Source organism: Homo sapiens, chromosome 13 (genome assembly GCF_000001405.40).
Source record: "Homo sapiens chromosome 13, GRCh38.p14 Primary Assembly".
NCBI lineage: Eukaryota > Metazoa > Chordata > Mammalia > Primates > Hominidae > Homo > Homo sapiens.
The window spans coordinates 81533059-81560024 of NC_000013.11; the positions used below are offsets into that span (position 1 = coordinate 81533059).

The 26966-nt window shown below is 37.8% G+C and overlaps 1 long non-coding RNA gene across 1 annotated transcript in view; it reads left to right on the forward strand.

Annotated features, from left to right (window-relative positions):
* Positions 1–260: 260 nt before the first annotated feature.
* Positions 261–26966, forward strand: part of LOC105370283 (uncharacterized) — a 59397-nt gene continuing 32691 nt past the window's right edge. The window contains exons 1-2 of the long non-coding RNA XR_942125.2: positions 261–394; positions 6844–6997. This is a non-coding gene — a long non-coding RNA (uncharacterized LOC105370283). The remainder of the gene's footprint in view (positions 395–6843; positions 6998–26966) is intronic.

Genomic DNA, 26966 nt, shown 5'->3' on the forward strand with positions numbered 1-26966 from the left:
TAGTAGGATTTTAATGCTCAAATTGCCTTAGATTTAATTGAAAAAGCTCCTTGAAGCTGGCTTCTGTGTTATTTTAATATACCCCTATAATTTTACAAGAAATTGTTTATTTTTCTCACACACAAAAATTATTTCAGGGTCAGATTACTCTTTCTTTTCCTTTGTCCTGGAATTGAACATTTTTCTAAGGTATTTAAAAATCAAGGTCTGAGTTCTAAGTGTCCTTATTATTGCCCCCAGGTATGCTCAGAGGACAGAAGGCTGGAAGGAAGGGAAGAAGGTAGAAAAACAAGAGTGAAAAAGAGGGTTTCCGATTTATGGATGTATATTAAAGCATATTGAAGATATCAGGTGATTTCATCCCTTTATACACTTCAGCATATATCTCCAAATGGTAAGAACATATGACTAATTTCATAATAAAAATAATGGCATTTTTAACCAAAATTTAAAATAATGTATTGATTTTATATAGCACCCAGTTCATAACAAAATAAAATAGTTCCCTCTAATCCTCTGAGGATACATTCCAAGATCCCCAGTGGACGCAGGAAATCTAGGATAGTACCAATTTACATATTTTACGTTTTTTCCTATACAAACATTTGTATTATAAAGTTTAAAGTACAAATTTAGGATAGCAAGATATTAGCAACAATATCTGATAAGAACTAGAACAATTATAATAATATAACTGTCATAAAGCAGATGATTCATACCCTAGGTGGGATAGAGTTGGGACAGTGCAAAATTTTATTATGTATTCAGAACAGCATGCACTTTAAAACTTATAAATTGTTCATTTCTGGCATTTTTCACTTAATATTTTTGAAATGCAGATGACTGATGGTAACTGAAGCCATGGAAAGTGAATACACAGATAAGGGGTGACTACTGTACCACTGATTGACTAAAAAAATGTATATTTCAACAAAGCTAGGGGCATCAAACTATCTGATTTTGAAATATGTTCTACAAAGCTATAGTCCTTAAAAGAGCATGGCAGTGGCATAAAAAATAGACACACCAACAAACAGAAAAGAATAGAGAACCCAGAAATGAACCTATGCATTTACAGTCAGTTGTTTTCTGACAAAGGTTCTAAAAACACAAAATGAGAAAAGGACAGTTTTTAAAAATATATATAAATGACATTGGACATCCATGTGCAGAAGAATGAGATTGGACCCTCATCTTACAACATCTACAAAAATCAACTCAAAATGGATTGAAGGCTTAAATATGAGACCTGAAATTGTAAAACCACTAAACAAAAACATAAGGGGAAACCTCCACAACATTGGACTGGGCAATGAGTTTTTGGATTTGACCCCCAAAACACAGGGAATAAAAGCAAAAATAGATGAATAGTATTGCATTATACTAAAAAGTTCCTGCACAGCAAAGGGAACAATTAACAGAGTAAAGAGAGAATCTATGGAGTAACAGAAAATACTTGCAAATCATAAAACTGATAAGGGATTAATATCCAAAATGTATAACGAATCAAACGACTCAATAACAAGAAAACAAATAACTCAATTTACAATAAATATGGGCAAAGTAGGTAGGGGCGGGCCTAGGTCCTAACCGCCCTGGGTCCTGGCAGTTCTCAGGCTTCTTGGGAGTCCAGGCAGGAAGCTCCCTGTTTTTCCTATTAACTCTAATTACTCCACTACTACATGCTTCCGTAACTGGAGTAGCCGCAACCTTAAGTCTCTGCAGGGATGATGCACAAGAGGAGAATATCTGTGGTATGTATTTCTGTAGCATCAGTTTTACTCCAAGGTTTTGAAGAAACAAATTTAATTAATTTATAAGACTCCAGACTTCCAAGATCTTGACCAGAACACCCAACAAGAGAAACACATTTACGGAGACAATAATGAGAGCAGGCTTCTCCAAGACCAAGGAACAGACTAGAATCAAAACCAGTTGACTGAACTTACCTTTTACCACAATCAAACTCCCAAGGGCATACAAAAATGCAAAGGACAGCAACTTCAAAGATTTAAGGAACATCAGCCCACACAGATGAGAAAGAACCAGCACAAGAACTTTGGCAATTAAAAAACCCAGAATATCTTCTTACTTCCAAACAACTGCACTAGTTCCTAAGCGCTGGTTTTCAACCAGGCTGAAATGTGAGAAATGTCAGAAATAGAATTCAGAATATGGATAGGAATGAAGATCATCAACATTCAGGAGAAAGTCAAAACCTAATCCAAGGAATTTACAGAATGCAATAAAATGATACAGGAGATTAAAGACAAAATGGCCATTAAGAAAGGACCAAACTGAATTAATACAGCTGAAAAACTCACTTCAAGCATTTCAGAATACAGTCTCAAGTATTAACAGCAAAATTGACCAAACTAAGGAAAGAATATCGGAGCTCAAATACCAGTTTTCCAAAATAACTCAGTCAGACAAAATAAAGAAAAACAATAAAGAAGAATGAATAAAGCCTTCACGTAATATGGAATTGTGTAAAGAGACCAAATCTATGACTCATTGGGATTCCTGAGGAGAGAAAGCAAGCAACTTGGAAAACATATTTGAGGATATCATCCACAAAAATTTTTCCCACCTCGCTAGAGAGGCCAACATTCAAATCTAGGAAATGCAGAGAACCCCTGTGAGATACTATACCAGATGACTATCCCTAAGACACAGTTGTCAGATTCTACAAGGTCAAAATGAAAGTAAAAATAAGATTGATAGACTGCTAGCAAGAATAATAAAGAAAAAATGAAGATCCAAATAAACACAATCAAAAATGACAAAGGGGACATTACCACTGATGCCACAGGAATACAAAATCTTCTGAGACTACTATGAACACCTCTATGCACAAAAACTACAAAACTGAAAAGAAATAGATGAATTCCTGGAAACATACAACCTCCCAAGATTGAACTAGAAAGAATCTGAATCCCTGAACAGATCAATAACAAGTTCTGCAATTGAATCAGTCACAAAAAGCCTACCAGCTAGAAAAAAGCCCAGGACCAGACAGATCCACAGATGAATTCTACAAGATGTATAAAGAAGAGCTGGTATTATGCCTACTGAAACTATTTCAAAAAATTGAGATGGAAGGATTCCTCCCTAACTAACTGGATGAAGCTAGCATCATCCGGATATTAAAACCTGGTAGAGACACAACAAAAAAAGAAAACTTCAGGCCAATATTTTTGATGAAAATTGATGCAAAAATCCTCAGCAAAATACAAGCAAGCCTAATCTAGCAGCACATCCAAAATCGAATCCACCATAATCAAGTAGGCTTTATCCCTAGGATGCAAAGCTGTTTCAACATATGCAAATCAATAAATGTAATTCACCACGTAAACAGAACTAAAAACAAAAACCACATGATCATCTCAATACATGCTGAAAAAACTTTCAATAAAATTCAACATCGCTTCATGTAGAAAACCTTCAACAAACTAGACATTGAAGGAACATACCTCAAAATAATGAGTCAACTATGACAAACCCATAGCCTACATTATACTGAATGGGCAAAAGCTGAAAGCATTCCTCTTGAGTCCTGGAACAAGACGAGGATGCCCACTTTCACCACTCCTATTCAACATAGTAATAGATGTGTTAGCCAGAGCAATCAGACAAGAGAGAGAAATAAAAGGCAAACAAATAGGAAGAGAGGAAGTCAAACTATATCTGTTTGCAGATTTATGATTCTATACATTGAAAACCCCACAGTTTTTGTCCAAAAACTCCCAGATCTGATAAACAACTTTGGCAAAGTTTCAGGATCCAAAATCAATGTACACAAACCTATAGTATTTTTATACTCCGACAACATCCAGGCTGAGAACCTAATCAACAACACTAACTCATTCACAATAGACATTAAAAGAATAAAATGTCTAGAAATATGGCTAACCAGGGAGGTGAAAGAGCTCTACAATGATAATTACAAAACACTGCTCAAAGAAATCAGAGATAACACCAACAAATGGGAAAACATTTTATGCACATGGATAGGAAGAAACAACAGACATCGGGACCTACTTGATGATGGAGGTTGGGAGGAGACAGAAGATTAGACAACTACCTATTGCGTACCATGCTCATTACCTGGACAACAAAATAATCTGTATACCAAATCCCTGTGACATGCATTTTATCTAGATAACAAACATGCAAATGTACCCCAAACCTAAAATAAAAGTTAATAGGCAAGTACATGAATTGATTTTTTTTTTTTTTTTTTTGAGACGGAGTCTCGCTCTGTCGCCCAGGCTGGAGTGCAGTGGCGGGATCTCGGCTCACTGCAAGCTCCGCCTCCCGGGTTCACGCCATTCTCCTGCCTCAGCCTCCCAAGTAGCTGGGACTACAGGCGCCCGCCACTACGCCCGGCTAATTTTTTGTATTTTTAGTAGAGACGGGGTTTCACCGTTTTAGCCGGGATGGTCTTGATCTCCTGACCTCGTTATCCGCCCGCCTCGGCCTCCCAAAGTGCTGGGATTACAGGCGTGAGCCATGAATTGATATTTGTCAAAAAAATACATAAAAATAGCCAACAAGCATATGAAAAAAAATGCTTAACATCATCAGTCATCAGAGAAATGCACGTTAAAACCACAATAAAATATCTTCTCATACATGTTAGAATGACTATATTCAGAAAGGTGAAAGATCATAAGTGGTGAGTATGTAGAGAAAAAGGAACCCTTATACACTGTTGGCAAGGATGCAATTTAGTACAGACATTATGGAAAAGTCTGGAAGTTCCTTTAAAAACTAAAAATGGAACTACCATATGATTCAGCAATCCCACCACTGGGCATATATCCAAAGAAATTGAAATCAGTAGTTTGAAGAGATATCTGCACTCCCATGTTCATTGCAGCATTATTCACAATAGCCAAGATGTGGAATCAACCTAAGTGTACATCAAATGATGAATGAATAAAGAAAGTGGGATTATATGTACAATGGAATACCATTCAGTCTTACAAAAATAGAATGGAATTCTGTTTTGTGCAACAACATGGATAAAACTTGGAGGGCATTATGCCAAGTGACATTAAGTAGGCACAAAAAGACTGTTACCGCATGAGCTTACTTGTATGTGGAATCTAAAAATGTCGATCTCATAAAAGTTGAGAGGAGAATGGTGGTTATCGAAGGCTGGTTTGGGGCTGGGGCATTAAGTGTAGACATGTGCATTAAAGGGTACAAGTTTCAGTTAGGAGGAATACGTTTTTGAGGTTTATTGCACAGCAGAGTATAGTTAATAATAACATATTTCAAAATTGCTAAGGGAGTACATTTCAGATGTTCTTACAACAAAAAATTAATATGTGAGGTAATGGGTATATGAATTATCTTGATTTTATTATTTCACAATATGTACATCTCTTACATCACATTGTCCTTCATAGATACTTGTCAATTCAAAAAAATTATTTAAAATATTTATGATATGCCCCCCAAAAAAGTCTTAAAGTTGGTCTGTTCAGTTCAGTCTGTAATAAATGCCCATATCTTGCATTGTGTTGTATTTAAGTATTTTTTAAATTAGGTGTTTCCTCTAACATTTTTATTCCATTAACTCTTGAAGAAACAGAATCAGTTGTCCTTGATCAAAAAGGTGTTAATTTCCCCTTCAGCTGGAGTAAACATTAGACAAGTTTCATTTTACCCATAGGTTTCTGAGCTACCTTTTCTTATAGCATTTGCTTTATAAAGTATGCAATTTTAAATCATTTATCTGCTTCTTTGAGATGCAAATCATGAAGCCTCTTGCCGAATTTACAACTTAGGAATCTCTTTCTCAAGGATCTGGGAGTCATCCCATTGAAATGCAATCATCAAGAATGATAGAACCTCTATCTTTCAGTCTCTGTGAGAGGAGAGGTGCCAATTAGGTATCAATTAGGAAACATAGATGGTCTAATCCTATTTATCAACCTATCCTGTAAAGTTTTCCAGTACTGTTCCACTAGCATGTCCTGGTGCTTAAAGCTCTCCAGCCTTTTGTTTCAAGACAGTTGAATTCAACATCCCTTTCCTATTGCAATAGTCTTGTATAAGGTCTTCCTTACCTGTTTAACTTGTCCAGTTCAATTTTCTATTAACATATTGAAGCCTGCCCATTCCTCCAAAGTCATCTTTGTAGCTCCTTGTCACAGAGGTTTAGTCTCTGTGTTTCCTGTAAACTGGTAGTTAGACATAAAATTTTGAATAGCTCTAAGTTCAATTTATTAGCAAGAATACTTAAGAGGTGATTCTGCCTTATTAATATAGGAGGTACATATCGTGGATTAAATTATATGTCCCCAAAATAGATATGTCAAAGCCCTAACCCACTATTAAAAGAAACTTTCAGACAAAACAAATTTAGCAGAGTTTATTTGAGCAAAGATTGGTTTAGAATAACTCAGAACCAGAAGAAGTTCGGAGCGGTTCACCCAGCTGTGTGAAGAGTGAGCTTGTAGAGGTCAAATAGGGATGCAAAATGGAGAAATCGCCTGATTGACTACAGCCAGGCATCTGCCTTATTTGGGCATAGTGTGTTCACTTGGCTAGCTGTGATTAGTTAAGCTTAACTGTTTGTGATTGGCTGAAACCCTGGTTATTTGTTACAAAACTATACTTTTAAATTAGCTTTTTTTTTCTTTTCATACTAAGTTAGATTGCAATTGGTTATGGAAGAACTCAAAGTAGGGAGAAAGCCTTCAGCAGCTTATATTACATCTCAATGTAACTGTATTTAGATATAAGCCCTTTAAACCGGCATTTAAAGTTTAATGACGTCATAAGGGTGGAGGCCTATAGCATCCAATAAGATTGGTGTTCTTACAACAGGTGAGAGAGACAGACACTGGGAGTGCTCATGCGCAGAGGAAAGGCCGTAGGAGGATGCTATAAAAAGGCTGTTGTCTGCAAGCCAAGGGGTGAGGCCTCGGGAGAAACCAAGCCTGTTGACACCACGATCTTGGACTTCCACCCCTTCAGAACCGTGAGAAAATAAGTTTCTGTTGTTTAAGGCTCCTAGTCTGTGGTGTTTTGTTATGGCAGTCCTAGATGAGTAATATAGCCCATAATATCAAGTTGTCCATACCTGGTAATGCTACATTTGATCAGTACTTTCAAGTAGAAACAGCCTGAGACTTCCATTCCTGTGGCAGGTTGTTGGGGGAGAGATCACTGAGTGGAGTGGTTCCCAATTGTAATCACCTGGGGACTCCTAACACAGCTGATGCCCAGCTAGCACCCAGGATAATTTAAATTAGAAACTTCAGGTTGGTATCCAGGTGTTAATATTTTTCATCAACTAAATTGATTGATAAATCACAAACCAAAGTATTCGTGAATTTAGACTAGTTTAATGCGTGCAACTAGAAACGCAGTTAAAATATAGAGCATTTTTATCACGCTCGGGAGTTTTACCTGCTCTGTACAGGACTGATCCTGGTGATTTGGATGTCTACTAGTAATTTTGTATCAATATAGCACCTTGAAGTTTATAAGAGAGTTATGAAGAGCCAAAGTGTTGTAATATAAAGCCATATGAATACTACCACACTACCCTTAAGGACTGTGGACAGGTGTAGGAAGGAACTTTTAACTAGCATAGCAGTTTGCAATATATATGTTTGTTATTCTTGTTCTTTGTCTTCTTCTTCCCTTCTGTCTCTTTCCCTCCCTTTTGTTCTTCTCTGCCTCCCTTCCTCCTGTCTCCCTCTCTCTCACTTCCTCCTGACTTCGTTCTTTCTTTTTTTCTGAACTCTGCCAGCTATTTTATTACAGTCTTTGCCTTAAGCAAACAAAAACAACAACAACAAAAAACTCCTGCCTTTTGACTCTGTCAATTTACTGATTTTAATCTTTATTTTAGCTAAAAATCAATGTAAATTGGATACTCTTGAGAGCCAGCAGGGGGTGTGCTAGTCTACAAATAAACTATATGATGTTTAGTGTTGGACATAATTTTATAGTTCTTGCCTAACTAAATACAGTGTTCTGTGTGGGAATATCCCATTTCACTGAGATTTGTATAGTTGCAGAATTATTACATATCATTATCATGATTTTTATAATCCTCAAAATCCAGCCAACCCCTACTTTCCTTTCTGCCATTGGGAACCCCGTAACTGCTAGCAGTGATCTCTACACTGTGTTAACCTCTTCTCTGAATATTCTCTACACTTTCCAGCCTTTGTTAACAGCTGCTCCTCATGATATCTCCTGTCTCTAGCATTCTCAGAGGAACCTGTTTTTACTGTTACTTAGCCTCAGAGCCAGAAGGAAGGGGCTGTGTGGTGTGGACTTGGTGTTCTATCTCAACAGTGCTCTGTCAAACCCTCTCTGCTCTGCTGTCAGGTGTAGACTTCTTAGCCCTTCCTACTTCTTCAGTGTCACACATGCTCCTCACTTAAGCTCCTGGTTCATATTTATTAATTCCTATAGCCACGCTTCTGTGATCACAGGTAAGTTCACTGTTTATGAATCTCCCAGATGACTGCCTCCCATTCCTTCCCTTCACTTCTGCAACACTCCTCGGTCATCACTCCGGCATCTAAATATCCACTGCACTGACCTTATACATTTTCTCTTTCTCCCACATTTGATTCTGTGGATTGTTCTTTATAGTTAAACTATTGCAGATGTCTTCAAACAACAACCCCCTCTCTCCTACCATCACACTTAACTGGTGGACCACAATCAAAAGCAAAACAAACTATTTTCTGTATGCTTTACCCAAGCAGGTGAATTTTGCTAGAGACAAAAACACAAACAGTCTCACTGGTTTAACTTTAAATTAATAATAACATGCCTCAAATAAGTACTTGAAATTGCCTGTTGATCTTATGCTGTGTCTTTAGAAAATTTATTTTCTTACTATGTATAAATACTATTTTATCATTTCTCCTTTATCATCCTCACAATGCTATTTTGACACTCAGCTGATGGCTTTGCATCCTGCTTGACTGACAAAAATAAAAGTCTCTAATATTTAGGCTGGAATCATAGGAGCAAATTAGAATTGCCGCAAGCAAACCAGGGCACAACATACTTGTTTCCTTTACAAAATATGTAATATGTCAGTGAATTTTTTCCTGTAACGGGATTGCATTACAAACAATAAAGTTTTTAAGTATTTGTTTCTAATAGATTTTTATGTCAGTGTGCCAGGATCCTCATTAATGTCTTGAGATAGGTGAGTGGTTTTAAAAAATGGTATAGAGAATGAAAAGGGACTTAGCTTGGGGATTAGTAGCTGGGTTGCATATTCACCCTACTAAAAATTCACTATGTAAATTTATGTACCTTTTATAATCTTCATAGGATTTGGTTCCTTAACTGGAAAATGAGTACACTGGCCTGCGTGATCATTAAAGACTCTTTAAATCTGACATTCTATAATTCCCTGTGTACATAAATATCCTACAGAGCTCAAAGTGACAAGGATTCGTTGCATGGCCATAGTTTAGTCAAGCTTCTGAACCTTTTTCTAACTCTGTATATGTACTTCCTTATAAAATTCAGTTTTGGTAAAGAATGCTACTAAGGTAGTTTGACAAGAACTCTTCACCCTTGATATCTGATTACCCTCAATGTCTGAATGGGATTCTAATCCTCCACCATTTCTCAGGTGATGACTGATCACCCTGGCCTAGCTTCAGCAAGAATCCTGTTAGGTGAGTTTAGGCAAAATCCCCCTTACTTCTGTTTGGTCTTAGTAATTTTCCATCTATTGATTTCCACAATGCTAGTTAGCTATAAATTTCCATTTGCCCATGCTGTTTTGCAGCTAGGCCCAATCTCTCTCCCACACTTCAAGACTCTGTTATAGTTGTTCCTCCACCTATCTCAGTGGTTCTGAGGAAAATCTTCCTTACCATGCTTTAACAAGTACCATTGAATATTATTTACTTTGAATGTTATTTACTTTATCAAAAGCAGTATAAACACATGAGTATGGCTAATAACACAAGTATTGTTTTAGAAAACTGTCTTCATCATGAATTAACAATTCTAGATTCTATGACATAAAAATAATATGTAGAAAGACCTTTTGTCATCTGTACAGTAGCATACAGGTAAATTTTCTTCAGTAAATTTAATTGCAATAAATTTATTGTATTCTTAACTATGGTACATTATAATTAATTTTTATCATACCCCAAGGGGGTGTTGCTCATAGACTATGCTAAAACTTTTCTTAAAAATTTCACAGATGTTTTATATTAGAAAGAAGGAAGTCCCCTTGGAACATCATAAAATTTAGAAATATAGCTCAATACCCAAATGCTATAAATTCACACATTTTCTTTGGAGTTCCTGAGCTTTGTAAATTAAGTCTAATCCCCAATGCATAATATATGTTGTCAGCTTCCAGTTGCTATTAATAACACGTGGTTTTCCTCTTAAAACAAGTGTAGGATATTATTCTCTAACATCGAGGCATGACAGTTCCAAGTTTTTGAAGCTGAATGGGGGTGATGATTATAAATGAATTAATAGAAATTTTTAAAATACAGGAAAATTCAGAAAATTAGAAATGTACTAGGAAGTAGGCTCATTTGTTAATTGGTGCTAAGCCAAAGTCACTTAGCATAGTAACCCCGTTGAAGTGAAAATTTCCCTGAGTGGCTGAAGCAGTGATTAAAAACCTGTGATTAAAAACAGATGAAGTTATGAGAGCAAATTTTGATCACATTTTTAAAGGCATTATTTTGATTTATTTAATAAATATAATTTCTACCATTTCAAACTTATTTCAGAAAGGCTAAAATAAATGTTAATTAGTTGTAATGATTTAAAATTAGGCTCTGTGTTTATATTGGGCCTATTTAATGTGACTTAATTTTTTTATGAAGCCAGACATGGTGGTGCACACCTGGTGTCCTAGCTACTTAGGAGTCTAAGGTAGGAGGACCGATTTGACCCAGGAGTTCAAGGCTGCAGTGAACTGTGATCATGTCAATGAACCCTACTTCTACCCTAGGCATCAGAGTGAAAACCTGCCACTTAAAAAAATTAAATTATAACATCTACACAAACTTTGTGTTTATCTAACCTTAATCTCTCATCATTCACACACACATGCACATAATCATATATACATATATATTCTTATCATAAATCTAAATATTTAAATCTATGTCTATATTGCCTAATTTAGCATTTTCTTATTGTTTTTCCCCATTAGAAAACTGGCAAATCACCTCTGTATCTTTTTCCCATTTGCTGATGTAACAAATTACCATACATTTGGTGCCTTAAAGCTTAAGGCTTAAACAACACAAGTTTTTCATCTTACATTTCTGGAGGTCAGGAGTTTAGGATGAGTTTCACTGGAATAAAATCAAAGCAGTGGAAGAACTGAGTTTCTTCCAAAGTCTTTGGGGGAAAAACATGTTTTCTCACCTTTTACAGCTCCAAAAGACTGCCCACTTTTCTTTTCTTGTGGCCCCATTCAATTTTCAAAGCCATTTATGGATGAGCAAGTCTTTCTCACACTATACCACCCTGACATTGACTCTTCTGCTTCTACCATCTTTTAAATACCCTTCCGATTACATTGGGCTCATTTGGATTATCCAGGATAATCTATCTTAACTTCATCTTATTAGTCACTATAATTTTTTTTTTTTTTGAGACAGAGTCTTGCTCTGTTACCAGGCTGGAGTACAGTGGCACGATCCCAGCTCACTGCAAACTCTGCCTCCCAGGTTCAGGTGATTCTCCTGCCTCAGCCTCCTGAGTAGCTGGGACTACAGGCATGCACCACCACGCTCAGATAATTTTTGTATTTTTAGTAGAGATGGGGTTTCACCATTTTGGTCAGGATGGTTTCGATCTCTTGACCTTGTGATCTGCCTACTTCGGCCTCCCAAAGTGCTGGGATTACAGGAGTGAGCCACTGCACCTGGCTTAGCCACCTTAATTATTTCTGCAATCTAAATTCCCTCTTATCATGTGATATATTCACAGCTTTCAGGGATTAGGATGTAGAAATATTTGACCAGCTGTTATTCTTCTCACCGCAGCCTTCCACCTTTAACATATCCATTGTGAAAAATAATTTTCAAATGTTGAAATCGTCCTTATAAACTTTGTAAAATTAATTAGCGAAGAAGGGAGGCAGAGAAAAATAAACCAAGCTTGAAGCACATTCAGCATTACTTATTAGGCCGGCTTGCTCTCTGACCTGCTTCCTCATAGTTATTTGCTTCCAATTGCTTCAGAATCATATCAGCCTTGTTGCAAGGTTATAGTTTTCTTTAACTGCCCTATACATAACGACTTAAGCATTGTGAAACATTAAGTTTCCCATTTCAGATATTCTTTGAGGTCCTGACTCTTAGTTAAACTACTGACATCTGCTGATATGAAGGACCTGATAAGAAGCTGACTCACTAAAAAATGCAGTTTCCACATCCTAATAACTTCATCCCCCTTAACTCAACCAGTCAGGAACCCCAATTTTCCAGACTCTTTCCATCCATGATCCCTGTATTAGTCTGTTCTCACACTGCTAATAAAAACATACTGGAGACTGGATAATTTAAAAAGGAAAGAGGTTTCATTGACTCAGTTCTGCAGGGCTGGGAGGCCTCAGGAAATTCACAATCATGGCGGATGGGGAAGCAAACATGGTAGAAGGAAAGAAAAGTGTCAAGCAAAGTGGGAAAAGCCCATTATAAAACCAACAGATCTCATGACAACTCACTCGCTGTCATGAGAACAGCATGGGGGTAACCATCCCCATGATTCAATTACCTCCCACCAGATCCCTCCCATGACACGTGGGGACTATGGGAAGTACAATTCAAGATTAGATTTGGGTGGAGACATAGCCGAAACATATCAGTACACTCCTGGCCCCTCCCAAATCTCATGCACTCACATTTCAAAACCCCAAGTCTTAGCTCATTTCAGTATTAACTCCAAAGTCCACCTATGAGCCTGTAAAATCAAAAGCAAATTAGTTACTTCCTAGATAAAATGGAGGTACAGGCTTTGGGTAAATACATCTGTTCCAAATGGGACAAATTTGCCAAAACAAAGGAGCTACAGGCATCATGCTTGTCTGATATCCAATAGGGCAGTTAAACCTTAAAGTTCCAAATTATCTCCTTTGGTTCCATGTCTCACATCAAGGTCATGCTGATGCAAGAGGTGGGCTCTCATGGCCTTGGGCAGCTCTGCCTCTGTGGCTTTGCAGGGTACAGCCCCCTCCTGGCTGCTTTCACAGGCTAGTGTTGAGTGCCTGCAGCTTTTCCAGGTGCATGATGCAAGCTGTTGGTGGATCTACCATTTTGGGTTCTGAAGGATGTTAGACCTCTTCTCACAGCTGCACTAGGCAGTGCCCCAGTGAGTACTCTGTGTGGGCTCCAACTTAGCATTTGCCTTCCATACTGCCCTAGCAGAGGTTCTCCATGAGGGCTCCACCCCTGCAGCAAACTTTTGCCTGGACATCCAAGCATTTCCATACATTCTCTGAAATCTAGGTGGAGGTTTCCAAACCTCAGTTCTTGACGTCTGTGCACCTACAGGCTCAACACCTCATGGAAGCTGGCAAGGCTTGGGACTTGCACCCTCCAAAGCAATGTCTTGAGCCATACCTTGGCCCCTTTTAGCCTCGGCTAAAGCTGAAGCAGCTGAAATGCAAGGCACCATTTCCTGAGGCTGTACAGAGCAGGAGGGCCCTGGGCCCAGCCCAGAAACCCATTTTTCCTATCTAGGCCTCCAGACCTCTGATGGGAGAGGCTGCCATGAAGTTATCTGACATGCCCTGGAGACATTTTCCCCATTGTCTGGTGACATTCTATTCATCATTCCTTATGCAAATTTCTGCAGTGGGCTTGAATTTATCCCCAGAAAATGGGTATTTCTTTTCCATTGCACTGATCAGGGTGCTAATTTTCCAAACTTTTATGCTGTGTTTCTTCTTGAATACTTTGCCGCTTAGAAGTTTCTTCTGCCAGATACCCTAAATCTTCTAAGTCCAAAGTTCCACAGATCTCCTAAAGCACAGCAAGAGTGACCGTTACTTCAGTTTTCAACAAGTTCATCATCTCCATCTGAGACCACCTCACCCTGGACTATTAGCATTGCAAAGCCATTCAACAAGTTTCTAGGAAGTTCCAAACTTTCCAACTTTTTCTGTCTTCTTCTGTGCCCTGCAAACTGTTCCAACCTCTTCCTGTTATCCAGATCCAAAGTTGTTTCCACATTTGTGGGTATCCTTATAGCAGCAACTCACTCTCTCAGGGCCAATTTAGTGTATTAGTCTGTTCTCATGCTGCTAATAAAGGCATATCCCAAACTGGGTAATTTATAAAGGAAAGAGGTTTAAGTGACTCACAGTTCAGCATGGCTGGTGAGGCCTCAGCAAACTTACAATCATGGCAGAATGGGAAGCAAAGATGTCCTTCTTCACATGGTAGAAAGAAGGAGAAGTGCCAAACAAAGAGGAAAAAGCCCCTTATAGAATCATAAGATTTTGTGAGAACTCACTCGCTATCATAAGAACAGCAGCATGGAAGTAACTGCCCCCATGGTTCTATTACCTCCCAACAGGTCCCTCCCACAAACACGTTGGGATTCTGAGAACTACAATTTAAGATGAGTTTTGGGTAGGGATGTAGCCAAACCATATAAATCTCCCCTAAACCCCATTGCAGCACTCCTTGGGGAGATGGATTAGAGTGTCCTTCCCATCTCCTCTCTCAGCCCCCCTACTATCACTAAACTTTTTCTCTGCTACAAACTCTGCTGTCTCTGTTATTGTGCAGCAGGCATATGAACCTGTTGGTCCATAAAAATATTTGTGGATTTTTTTTTTTTTTAAATGAAGCCTGTTCACTACTGTGACAGCAGACTTCAAGGTGGCTCCCAATGATATCCACATCCTGGTATTCATACTCTTGTGAAATTTCCTTTATTTGAGTACAGCCTAGCCTATCGAATAGATTTTAACAAGTAGAATATGGCAAAGTGATGAAGTGTAACTTTATAATTAGACTACAGAAATTGTAATTTTTATGTTGGTAGCAAATTATGTCTTTTGCTGGCTGTGATGGAAAATGTGATCATGATGGGTAGGCCCATGTGACAAGGAACTGAGAGTGCCTCTGACCAATAGCTAGTAAGAAACTGAAGCCTAGAGTCAAATTGTTCTTGAGAGAGTATATGCTACCAGCAACCACATAAGTAATCGTGGAAATGTCCTTCCCCAGTCAGATGTTCAGACTGACTTGCCTGTAGCCTTATGAGAGACACTGAATTAGGAGACCTGCCAAAACTGGGTCCAGATTCCTCATTCACAGTTAGTCTAATAAAGCACTAAATTGTGTAATAATTTATTACACAACAATATACAACTAAAACAATCTCCTCTTTCTTCTTTCTTAATCAAGTAATAACTTGGTCTTATAATTGGGGCAAACAATTCAGCGAAAAATGAAATGTTTACAAAGTAGATATTTAAAAAGGGTCTCATCTTGACTTCAGAATTTAAAAAAGACTTTATCCATTAAGGAGTATAAAATGACTCATGTCAAGGTATTTGGAAAAATAATAAGTTAAAAAAGATTTCCTCTCACCAGCTTAGTAGTGGATTGTGTATTTTTAAGGAAGATGAAACTTGCCAGGCAAAGGATGGGGAAATAGAATTGGTTATCCCCAGAGAGAGAATACTTGCTCATTTTTGGACCAAGTCCTCAAGAAGACAAGTAATCATATTATTTGAATGCAGAGGACATCTATGCCTTGCAGTTAGGAAGGTGTAAGATTTTTGAGAGACTATAACTAGATGTTGTATCCAGATGGAGCCTAAGGAATCTCAGAATGTTTTGCATAATCTAGTGTAGCTTATAAGAATAGAACAATTGCAATGAACAATGGTAGCCTATAAGCAGTAGAAGAGTAGAGCAGCACCTAAGGAAGCCAAGTGGAGTTCCTGAAGTCTATCTCTGCAGTGGCCATTAGGCATCAACAAAGAAGGGAAAGGGTTGTATTAGTCCATTCTCACACTTCTATAAAGAACTAACTGAGACTGGGTAATTTATTTATTTTTTTAAAAAGCTGTGTAGCTGACTCACAGTTCTGCAGGCTTAACAAAAAGCATGGCTAAGGAGGCCTCAGAAAACTTGTAATCATGGCAGAAGAGGAAAAGGAAGCAAACACATCTTACAAGTGGCAGGAGAAACAGTGAGAGGGGGGAAGTGCCACACTTTTAAACCATCGGATCTCATGAGAACTCACTATCATGAGAACAGCATGGAGGAAACTGTGTCCCCAGTCCGATCACCTCCCACCACAGCCCTCCCTCAACACATGGGTATTACAATTCAGGGTGAAGTTTAAGTGGGAATACATAGCCAAACCATATCATATTACCCCTGGCCCATCCCAAATCTCATGTCCTTCTCACATTTCAAAATATAATCATGCCTTCTCAACAGTCCCTCATAGTCTTAACTCATTTTAGCGTTAACTCAAAAATCCAAGTACAAAGTCTCATCTGAGACAAGACAAGCCCTTTCTGCTTATGAGCCTGTAAAATCAAAAGCAAATTAGTTACTTCCTAGATACCATAGGGATACAGGCATTGGGTAAATTCACCCATTCCAAGTGGGAGAAATTAGCCAAAACAAAGGGGTTACAGGCCCTGTGCAAGTCTGAAACCCAACAGGGAAGTCTTTAAATGTTAAAGCTCTAAAATAATATCCTTTGACTCCAAGTCTCACATTCAAGGCACACAAATGCAAGAGGTGGGCTCCCAAGGCCTAGGGTACCTCCTCCCTTGTGGTTCTGCAGGGTACAGCTTCCACAGTTGCTTTCACAGGCTGGCATTAGTGCCTGTAGCTTTTCCAGTTGCATGGTGCAAGCTGTCAATGAGTCTATCATTCTGGGGTCTGGAGGATGGTGGGCATCTTTTCACAGCTCCACTAGGCAGTGCCCCAGTGGAGACTCTGTGTGGTGGTTCCAACCCTACATTTCCCCTTTGCATTGCCCTAGTAGAGGTTCTTGAAGGTTCTGCCCCTGCAGCAGACTTCTCCCTGGACATCCAGGTATTTCCATACAACCTTTGAAAACTAGGTGGAGGTACCCAAACCTCAACCCTTGTCTTCAGTGTACCCACAGGCCAAACATCACATAGAAGCTGCCAATTTTTGCAGCTTGCCCCCTCTGAAGCAACAGCCTCAGCTATACCTTGGCTCCTCTTAGCAATGGCTAGAGTGGCTGGGACACAGGGTGCCATGTTGTTAGTGTGCAGGGAGTAGCAGGGCCGGGGCACAGCCCATTAAACCATTTTTCTCTCCTAGGCCTCTGGGTCTGTGATGGAAGGGGCTGACATAAAGATCTCTGAAATGCCCTGGAAACATTTTCCCCATTGTCTTTTTTATTAACATTCAGCTCCTTGTTACTTATGCAAATTTCTGCAGCTGGCTTGAATTTCTCACTAGAAAATGGGTTTTTCTTTTCTATCACATGATCAGGCTGCAAATTTTCCAAACCTTTATGCTCTTCTTCCCTTTTAAACGTAAGTTCTAATTTCAGGCTATCTCTTTCTTCATGCATGTAAAAATACACATCTAGAAAAAAACAGATTTAATCTTGAATGCTTTGCTGCTTAGAAATTTCTTACACCAGATAATCATCTCTTTCAAGTTCAAAGTTCCATGGATCTCTAGGGCAGGAGCAAAATGCTGTCATTCTCTTTGCTAAAGCATAGTTAGAGTCACATTTGCTTCACTTCCCGAAAAGTTTCTTACCTCCATCTGAGACCACCTAAGCCTGGACTTCATTGTTCATGTCACTATCAGCATTTTGGTCACAACTATTCAACAAGTCTCTAGGAAGTTCCAAACTTTCTCTCATCTACCTGTCTTCTTCTGAGCCCTCCAAACTGTTTCAGCCTCTGCCCATTACCCAGTTCCAAATTCACTTGCACATTTTCAGGTATCTTTCTAGCAATGCCCCCTTTTCTCAATACCAATTGTCTCTGTTAGTTTGTTCTCACATTACTACAAAGAAATACCTGAAATTGGGTAATTTATAAAGAAAACAGGTTTAATTGACTCACAGTTTCCCAGGCTTAACAGGAAGCATGGCTAGGAGGTCGTAGGAAACTTACAATCATGATGGAACAGGAAGTAAGCATATCTTACATGGCAATAGGAGGAGGGTAATTGCAACACTTTCAAACCATCAGATCTTGTGAGAGCTCACTATTTTAAGAACAGCATGGAGGAAACCACCCCCATGATCCAGTCTCCTCCCATCAGGCCCCTCCATTGACATATGGGGATTACATAAGAGATTTAGGTGGGGACACAGAGCCGAACCATATCAGGGGCCAAATCCACCATATAGCTTGGATCCATGAAATTTAGCCACAACCTAGGTGAAAGAGGAAGCAACCTTAAATTTACTGAGACTTAATTTCTAATCCTTCAGAAAAGTGTTGACTGGGTAGTCACCTCTAAAACTATGGTTTTTTCAAGCCTTCGTAGTCTTCTCATTGAAACAAGACTGGTCTTTCTATTGGTTCCTTTTAATAGTTTATATATTTTATTTGCTCACATATTGTTCTCCTGGTTTCTTTTATCTCTTTGAGGTCTTTGTCCATGCTTTCCTTCAGCTCTTTAAACTCTGTGTCATACTAACAATGTCTGTGCTTCCACAGGGGCAGTTTTTTAAATTTCTTCTTTGAATGGGATATATTTTGTTATTCCTTTGCATGCTTCATATATTTTGTTTGTAACTTGGATGTCGAATATTTTAATATGGTTCTGAAATTCAGATTGTTCTCTTCAGCCTTGTTTTTTGATTTGTCTGTTGTGGGCTGTAGCTATTTGCTTCGTGACTTTTCCAAACAGTTTTTAAAAAACTGTGTTATTTTCATGGTCCCTAGAGTCTCTGCTCCTTATCGTATAATCAGTCAACATTTTGACAGGGATTTTCTTAAATGCCAGAGGAAGAGATAGAGAGGGAAGAGAATGATTTAAAAATATAAATAAGTAAAAGAAAAATATCTGCTTTTCTTTCTAGATTGGCATGGTGTTTGCATACTTTTTCAACACTTAGCCAGGCCATTTTCAACTATGTCTTATCTTTCACTTTGTCTTTCAGTAAGTCTCAGAGATCAGACAGAGTTGAAAGTTTGGAATCTTCTCAGTTTTTTCTAAGCTTGCCTCTTGCCTTGGGTGTGTATTTGGCTTCCTAAGTTTCCCAGAATACAAAGAGTATTTTTAATGTTCTTATTTTCCAAAGAAACTCTCTCCCCAGATTTTCCTATGAGGCTTGAGGAGGTCTGTTATATATCTCAACCATAACCTTTTCCTCCTTGATCTGAGGGTTGTTTGCCTTAAGAAGTTTTAAAGGAACACCTGCTGCTTTTCCACCCTGAGTGAATTTCATGTTAGGTGAAATAAAGACAAATGCCTGAGTAAGTAATTTTTGGCTAGCACCAGGCTGGTTAGAACAGATAAATACAATTATTTGTCCTTGAGGTCTCCTCTCCTCTCTTTGAAACCAGATACCAGAGTTTACACTGGGAACACTGGCTGCCATCTTCAAGACCATCATCAAACTGTCAAGAAGAACAAGGGAAAATAAAAGTGCCACATAGCTTTCTTATCATTTTTATGTTGCCTTTTTATTTATTAAGCATTTACTTGTTGGCGGTAATCCTTTGTTTTTCAGAATTCCGATAAAGTTGATTCTGATCATTTTTGCTTGATTTTTTTGAAGTTTCTGTGGAGTGATGGGCCATTGAAGCTGCCCACTCTACCACTTTTGCTGGCATCCTCTAAGCTAATAGTTATTCAGCAATAGATACATAATGTTCTGACTCAAACTAAAATTAAGTTGCATGTATTAGGCATCTCTTATGTGTTTCTTGATTCTCTCAGCGCTGCCATCTTCCCTACCTGCTTCACTTCCCTCCTTACTCCTAAGACTTCTATCTTCGGTATTGCTACAATAATTCCTGAGTCCTGGACCATGTAGCCACTATTTCATAAATTAATGCAACAAGTAATAGGTGACCATTTGTATGTGACTTCTGAGAATCCTTAGGCACAACCGTTCAAGACCCACAGACTTAGAGACAAGCACCAGACTGATAAACTAAACCGCCATGTTATTGGTTCTTCCTATCATTTCTGAACTTGGAGAAAATCTATGCTTTTGGCTAAAGAAACTGTCTAGCATAACAGGAAAAATCAAGACGATGAATTTCCTTTTTCTCCTCCTCTCCATGAACTGTTCTACAAAGCAGCAGTTAATAATGCCTCAATGAAGACATCATTGAAGGCCAAGTGATCAGCTGTGCTTGATATGAAGAACAATCAGTTTCCTAATACACTCTTTTCTGTGTGGTCTCCATCCTTTCTGGCCACACTTTGTTTTCCGTCCCCCTCCCATTTCTCTTTCTGCGGGATTGTACTTCTCAATGAAATAATACCATATAAGTTTAATTTAGGTTGTGTTTTCTACAGAACATTGGGTGAGGCCTTAAAATATAGAGGATTTTTTTTAATGTGTGTTGTACCCAACCAAGTGTGCAAACTAAGATTCATAACAATTACACATCATCACTAGCCATTCTAATTTTGCACAATGTAAATTCTCATTAGCAATATATCTTTTTGGAGTTTAAATTTAGGGCAACAATCATCACAGCTAGGTAATTGTAAGGTTATTAAATTCACCTACTCCACAACTATTCATTAAATGGTCAACAGTGGTTGGCATATTATGCAAGATAACACCGCTTATAAATAGATTCAGAAGCCATGGTTTGTGTCCTCTAGGGGCTAATAACTGCCTAGAATTACATTACTTGAATATTGTTTCCCTTTTAATAGTGTTACTTTTGGAGATATTTTAAATTACTTCATGTAGAACCAAAAAGAAGGTAGCCTAGTTTCTGTTATTCTTTTAGTCACAGCAAAGCAAAATCTTTATACCAGTAATTTCAAAGTTATCCAAGTCCACTTTGACAAAAACACCTGAGTACAGGCAGAAAGAGAATAACTTCAGTATGATGGATAAAGAACAGAACAAAGATGTATGTGGGTGAAATTCACGTAAACAGAGAATGAAATAGTCTTGCTAAACCACTGAAAGTTTTAGTAATTTTGAGCAAATTTCTTTTACCTTTTTACATCTTCAGATAGAGGCTTCTTCATTTTCTATCTCTGGTATGCATCTCCTATATACTTACTTAGGTTTGAAACAGCCTCTCTGCATATGCCATAATTTCATATCTATCAATTTTGAAAAGGAAACTGGCAGAGTTGGGAACTTTTGTGCTTCTTCTAGCTTGATTTCACTAAAAATTCTTAATCATTCTTTAATATAAATAAGAAATAGGGCCAGGCACTGTGGCTCACGCCTGTAATCTCAACACTTTGGGAGGCTGAGGTGGGTGGATCACAAGGTCAGGAGATGGAGACCATCCTGGCTAACATGGTGAAACCCCATCTCTACTAAAAATACAAAAAATTAGCCGGGCATGGTGGCGGGTGCCTGTAGTCCCAGCTACTCAGGAGGCTGAGGCAGGAGAATGGCATGAACCCAGTTGGCGGAGGTTGCAGTGAGCCGAGATTGTGCCACTGCCCTCCAGCCTGGGCGACAGAGCGAGACTCCGTCTCAGAAAAAAAAAAATAAATAAATAAAAATAAAAAGGAAATAAAAAAGTAGGATTGAAGCACTGGACAAGAATTGGATAGAGAATCCAAGGCTCATGGAAGCAGGTTTAAGGGAGGAGGCTCTGCAGTACTTGTCTGCGAGCTACAGATTGTAGATCACCCAAGCGAATGACCAAAATGGCAATTTATCTGCGGGGGTAGAAATCAAAGAGAGATGATAAAATAGGATATCCCTCCTGTAGCCTGGAACCAAATCTCTGTCACCTTTTGGCATGTTCACAACCCAAACTCTCTGTGCTTCAGTTCCCTCACCTAAAAAATGTGGCTAATAGTAATACCACTTTCATAACAAGTGTGAAAATTATGGTATACCAGCACTTGGAACATTGTACGTATCCCGTAAACTTCAGAAGTCATTCAACCTAAACTGTTAATGCATTAAGGGTAAGATACTAAATATGTCAGATCATGATAGAAAGGTTAAATAAAGAAAGAGACAACCTTTTTTTTTTTTTTTTTTTTTTTTGAGATGGAGTTTCACTCTTGTTGCCCAGGCTGGAGTGCAATGGCACGATCTCGGATCACTACAACCTCTGCCTCCTGGGTTCAAGCGATTCTCTTGCCTCAGCCTCTCGAGTAGCTGGGATTACAGACATGTGCCACCACGCCCGGCTAATTTTGTATTTTCAGTAGAGATGGACTTTCTCCATGTTGGTCAGGCTGGTCTCCAACTCCTGACCTCAGGCTATCTGGCCACCTTGGCCTCCCAAAGTGCTGGGATTACAGGCATGAGCCACTGTGGCTGGCTGAGACCAATCTTTTTACAGCAGGAGGTTAAGGGTAGATCCTCTTGTGCTATCATGTATACTAGAAGCAGAATTAAAAGGGAATATGTAGTGTTAGGAAAAATGATGGGTTTTCTATTACCACAAAGAAATCTTTGGCCCCTTTTGTGAACTGCCCAAACCTCTTAGCTTACAGGCATTTTTACATAATATCAAACATCTAAAGAAAACATTTAAAAAAAAGTCAGAAACCTTAGGCATTTATTTATAAAATATTCAAGAGAGCCAAATAATGGTCATTTTGTAAATCAGCCAAAGTAATTTGTTCATTAATTTACCAACTACAATCTCTTCAATTACTTGTGTTGATGAGATTCACATTGTTTCATGATAATGGTCAATGCCAAGCTAAAAAATACCCACCAAACTTAGCAAAACACATTCTCAAGATTTTAAGAAGACTTAGAAAAATGATTGCAATTGGGAATAATTAAATTGCCTCATCTCTTAGAAAAAGTTTTGTCTTATAGGAAAAACTGAAATCGGCTTTATGTATCCTTTCTGAAATTAACTCAAATACTGATATCTCCAAAATTAGATTTGAAGGATTAAGAGACAGAAATGTGATAAATCAGCTTATCTTATAAGGCTGTTGGTGGTAACATTACAAAGTAAACAATAGAAACATTTGCTCTGTTGTAAACATAATATTGAAGAAATCAGTAACTTTTGCATATTTTTATTAATATTAAATTTTCTCTATAGTCTGAGAAAAAAGAATTTTATCTATATTCATTTTTTGGCTCTAAATACAAACTGTTTTTAATTAGTGTAAAAACTAAGAACTGTGCTAATTAGTCAAATAAGAATAGGGATAAAGGAAAATACATTTGTTCCATAAATTACTTTTAAAATGAGACTTCAATTAAATCAGCTACTCTGGCAGAAAAATTATAGACATATTTAATAAAGCCTTTTCATAGGAAATTTCACCCCAGGAAAAACTCTTCTAAAATAATTTTACATATCATTCTTAAGGCTGACCTTAAATATCATCTAATATGATTTAAAATACCACAATTTCAACCTGTCTTTCTTTACTTCTTCATCTGGTACTCTTTCCAGAACTATTTAAAAAAATAAATAGATGATTGTATTATACATTATTTTGAAAATTGAGACATGTATTGCAAAATTAGAAAATAAAAAAACAAGGGAAATTTGAGATTAGTACAGAAAAATATGCCGTAATTTGCTTTTCTTTTGTTTTACTCTTGCTTGAATTAAGCTGCAAATTTGGGTGTGTTCTGTATAGCAGCTAATGCAAAGAAGGGAAATAAGATAAATTAAACAATTTACTGTGGTCAGACAATAAAAACAAACTTGTTCTATCACGCTGGAATCATTGAATAAATAAGGCTCAGAAATATGTGACAATTTTGGATTGGATAATTCATCTGGTTCAGCAAGAGGCATCAAAGTTAAAGATATTCTTTTTGTCAAAACTTGTTTTCACTGACTTTGGTGGTTGTGTTTTGACTTGAGCTTTCCTTAAGCAGTGATAAGAGCTACCATTGAATCAGTGAAAGTTAAAGAGATTAAGGCTATAAATTAATTCTCAATTTATTAGCCTTTTCACTATAGATTGAGAAAATATCTGTCTGAGATACCAGCAATTTTGGATTAATATCAAGTGGACCAGTTGAAATGTCTATATTGCAAATGTGGCGCTGAATTAGTAAGATAGTCTTTGGACTTTGTAAGGATCCAAGTCTTGCTAATTTTTCAGTCGTTGAACAGTCTGACTCTGAACCCCATCCTTTATTTCTGTCAAGTTTTTTTTTTCTTCTTATCAAGTTTTGAATGGAATCTAAGGCAAAGAAGAAATTGCTTCCCATATTAATTAGCTATCAAACATTAACAGATAGACTTTTGTATAGTTGTGGATTTCAGAAACAAAGATGGTGGTTTCAACTGGTTTAGGGCTATATTTTATCAGTGAATGTTTTCTAAGGTCTTTGTGGTATAAACCCTCATTTCGTTTTGCAAAAATCACGACTAGGTGACTAGTGTATGACTATGTATCTATTGTCTATTTCTCCCAAAGTAGAAGAAGATACTTTTTTTTGTGATAAGAATTACATGTGTTCATAAAATTCTGTTTCCCTATCACCTAAAAATTTCCCTGGCATGCCATACTTTTAATAAAAAATATTGATAAGTAGACTTTTATTTAGTTATGTGTATATTTATCTTGCCATGCTGTTTTAAGTGGTCCATGTAAACCTTTTTCCACAGGCTGACAGACTAATTCTCATATTCTTGGGTTCAAATGCTGCTACATCCTTTAATAGTTTTGAGCTCACCATCTAAAACAATCTAAACAACTTGGAGTGGCAACATGTAAAACAATCTGACAAATATGCTTCTTATGTTCTCACTCATGAGTAACACATAACTTTCCCATACCATCTATAATTTTGTTTCAGACTTTTAAAATACGAATATGCTCTTCTGCCTGTCATCAAATTCTTCTCAAAATTATCTCATTTATATTAGATAGGAACTTCCATCTTAAACATGTATACACTGAAATCATCAGTTTTATTGAAGGTTAGATGAGGTTAAAAGTAGTTGCATGGATATTGGAATGTTCTATAATTTTGACACTTACAGGTAAGGCTTCTTTTTTTTAACTTAGGAAATTGTACAATGTGAGTAACCAGCCCTAGCATTTAATTTTCTAGTTTAAAAATGATACAGAATTTTTGGGTATTATGGATTTTCATGTTAATTTGTACTATTTTAAACTTGCTCTCAGTGTTCAGTTTCAAAATTAATACTTAACTCTTCTAAAAAATTCCGTAGTCTAGCAAGGGGTTGTAATAAACTGACAATATATTTTATAACAAATAAATAAATAGTCAAGGCTGGCCACATTGACTCATACCTATAATCTCAGCACTTTGGGAGGCCAAGGAAGGGAGATGGCCTGAGCCCAGAAATTTGGGTTCAGCCTCGGGAATATGGTGAAACTCCATCTCTAAAAAAAATACAAAAATGAGCTAGGAGTGGTGGTGCACACCTGTTGTTCCAGCTACTTGGGAGGCCGAGAGGTGGTAGTATTACTTGAGCCCGGGATATCAAGGCTGCAATAAGTTGTAATAGCATGACTGCACTCCAGCCTGGGCAACAGGGCAAGACCCTGTCTTAAACACATAACAAAACAAACAAATAAACAAAAGCAGGTGAATGCTGGCTACCTGGTCTAGTCCAAGACCCTCTAATAGATATAGATTTCTTTTTCTTTTCTTCTTTTTTTTATTATTATTATACTTTAAGTTTTAGCATACATGTGCACAATGTGCAGGTTAGTTACATATGTATACATGTGCCATGCTGGTGGGCTGCACCCATTAACTCGTCATTTAGCAATAGGTATATCTCCTAATGCTATCCCTCCCCCCTCCCCCCACCCCACAACAGTCCCCAGAGTGTGATGTTCCCCTTCCTGTGTCCATGTGTTCTCATTGTTCAATTCCCATCTATGAGTGAGAACATGCGGTGTTTGGTTTTTTTGTCCTTGTGATAGTTTACTGAGAATGATGATTTCCAATTTCATCCATGTCCCTACAAAGGACATGAACTCATCCTTTTTTATGGCTGGCTGCATAGTATTCCATGGTGTATATGTGCCACATTTTCTTAGTCCAGTCTATCATTGTTGGACATTTGGGTTGGTTCCAAGTCTTTGCTATTGTGAATAGTGCCGCAGTAAACATACGTGTGCATGTGTCTTTATAGCAGCATGATTTATAGTCCTTTGGGTATATACCCACTAATGGGATGGCTGGGTCAAATGGTATTTCTAGTTCTAGATCCCTGAGGAATTGCCACACTGACTTCCACAATGGTTGAACTAGTTTACAGTCCCACCAACAGTGTAAAAGTGTTCCTATTTCTCCACATCCTCTCCAGCACCTGTTGTTTCCTGACTTTTTAATGATTGCCATTCTAACTGGTGTGAGATGGTATCTCATTGTGGTTTTGATTTGCATTTCTCTGATGGCCAGTGATGATGAGCATTTTTTCATGTGTTTTTTGGCTGCATAAATGTCTTTTTTTTGAGAAGTGTCTGTTCATATCCTTTGCCCACTTTTTGATGGGGTTGTTTGTTTTTTTCTTGTGAATTTGTTTGAGTTCATTGTAGATTCTGGATATTAGCCCTTTGTCAGATGAGTAGGTTGCGAAAATTTCCTCCCATTTTGTAGGTTGCCTGTTCACTCTGATGGTAGTTTCTTTTGCTGTGCAGAAGCTCTTTAGTTTAATTAGATCCCATTTGTCAATTTTGGCTTTTGTTGCCATTGCTTTTGGTGTTTTAGACATGAAGTCCTTGCCCATGCCTACGTTCTGAATGGTAATGCCTAGGTTTTCTTCTAGGGTTTTTATGGTTTTAGGTCTAACGTTTAAGTCTTTAATCCATCTTGAATTAATTTTTGTATAAGGTGTAAGGAAGGGATCCAGT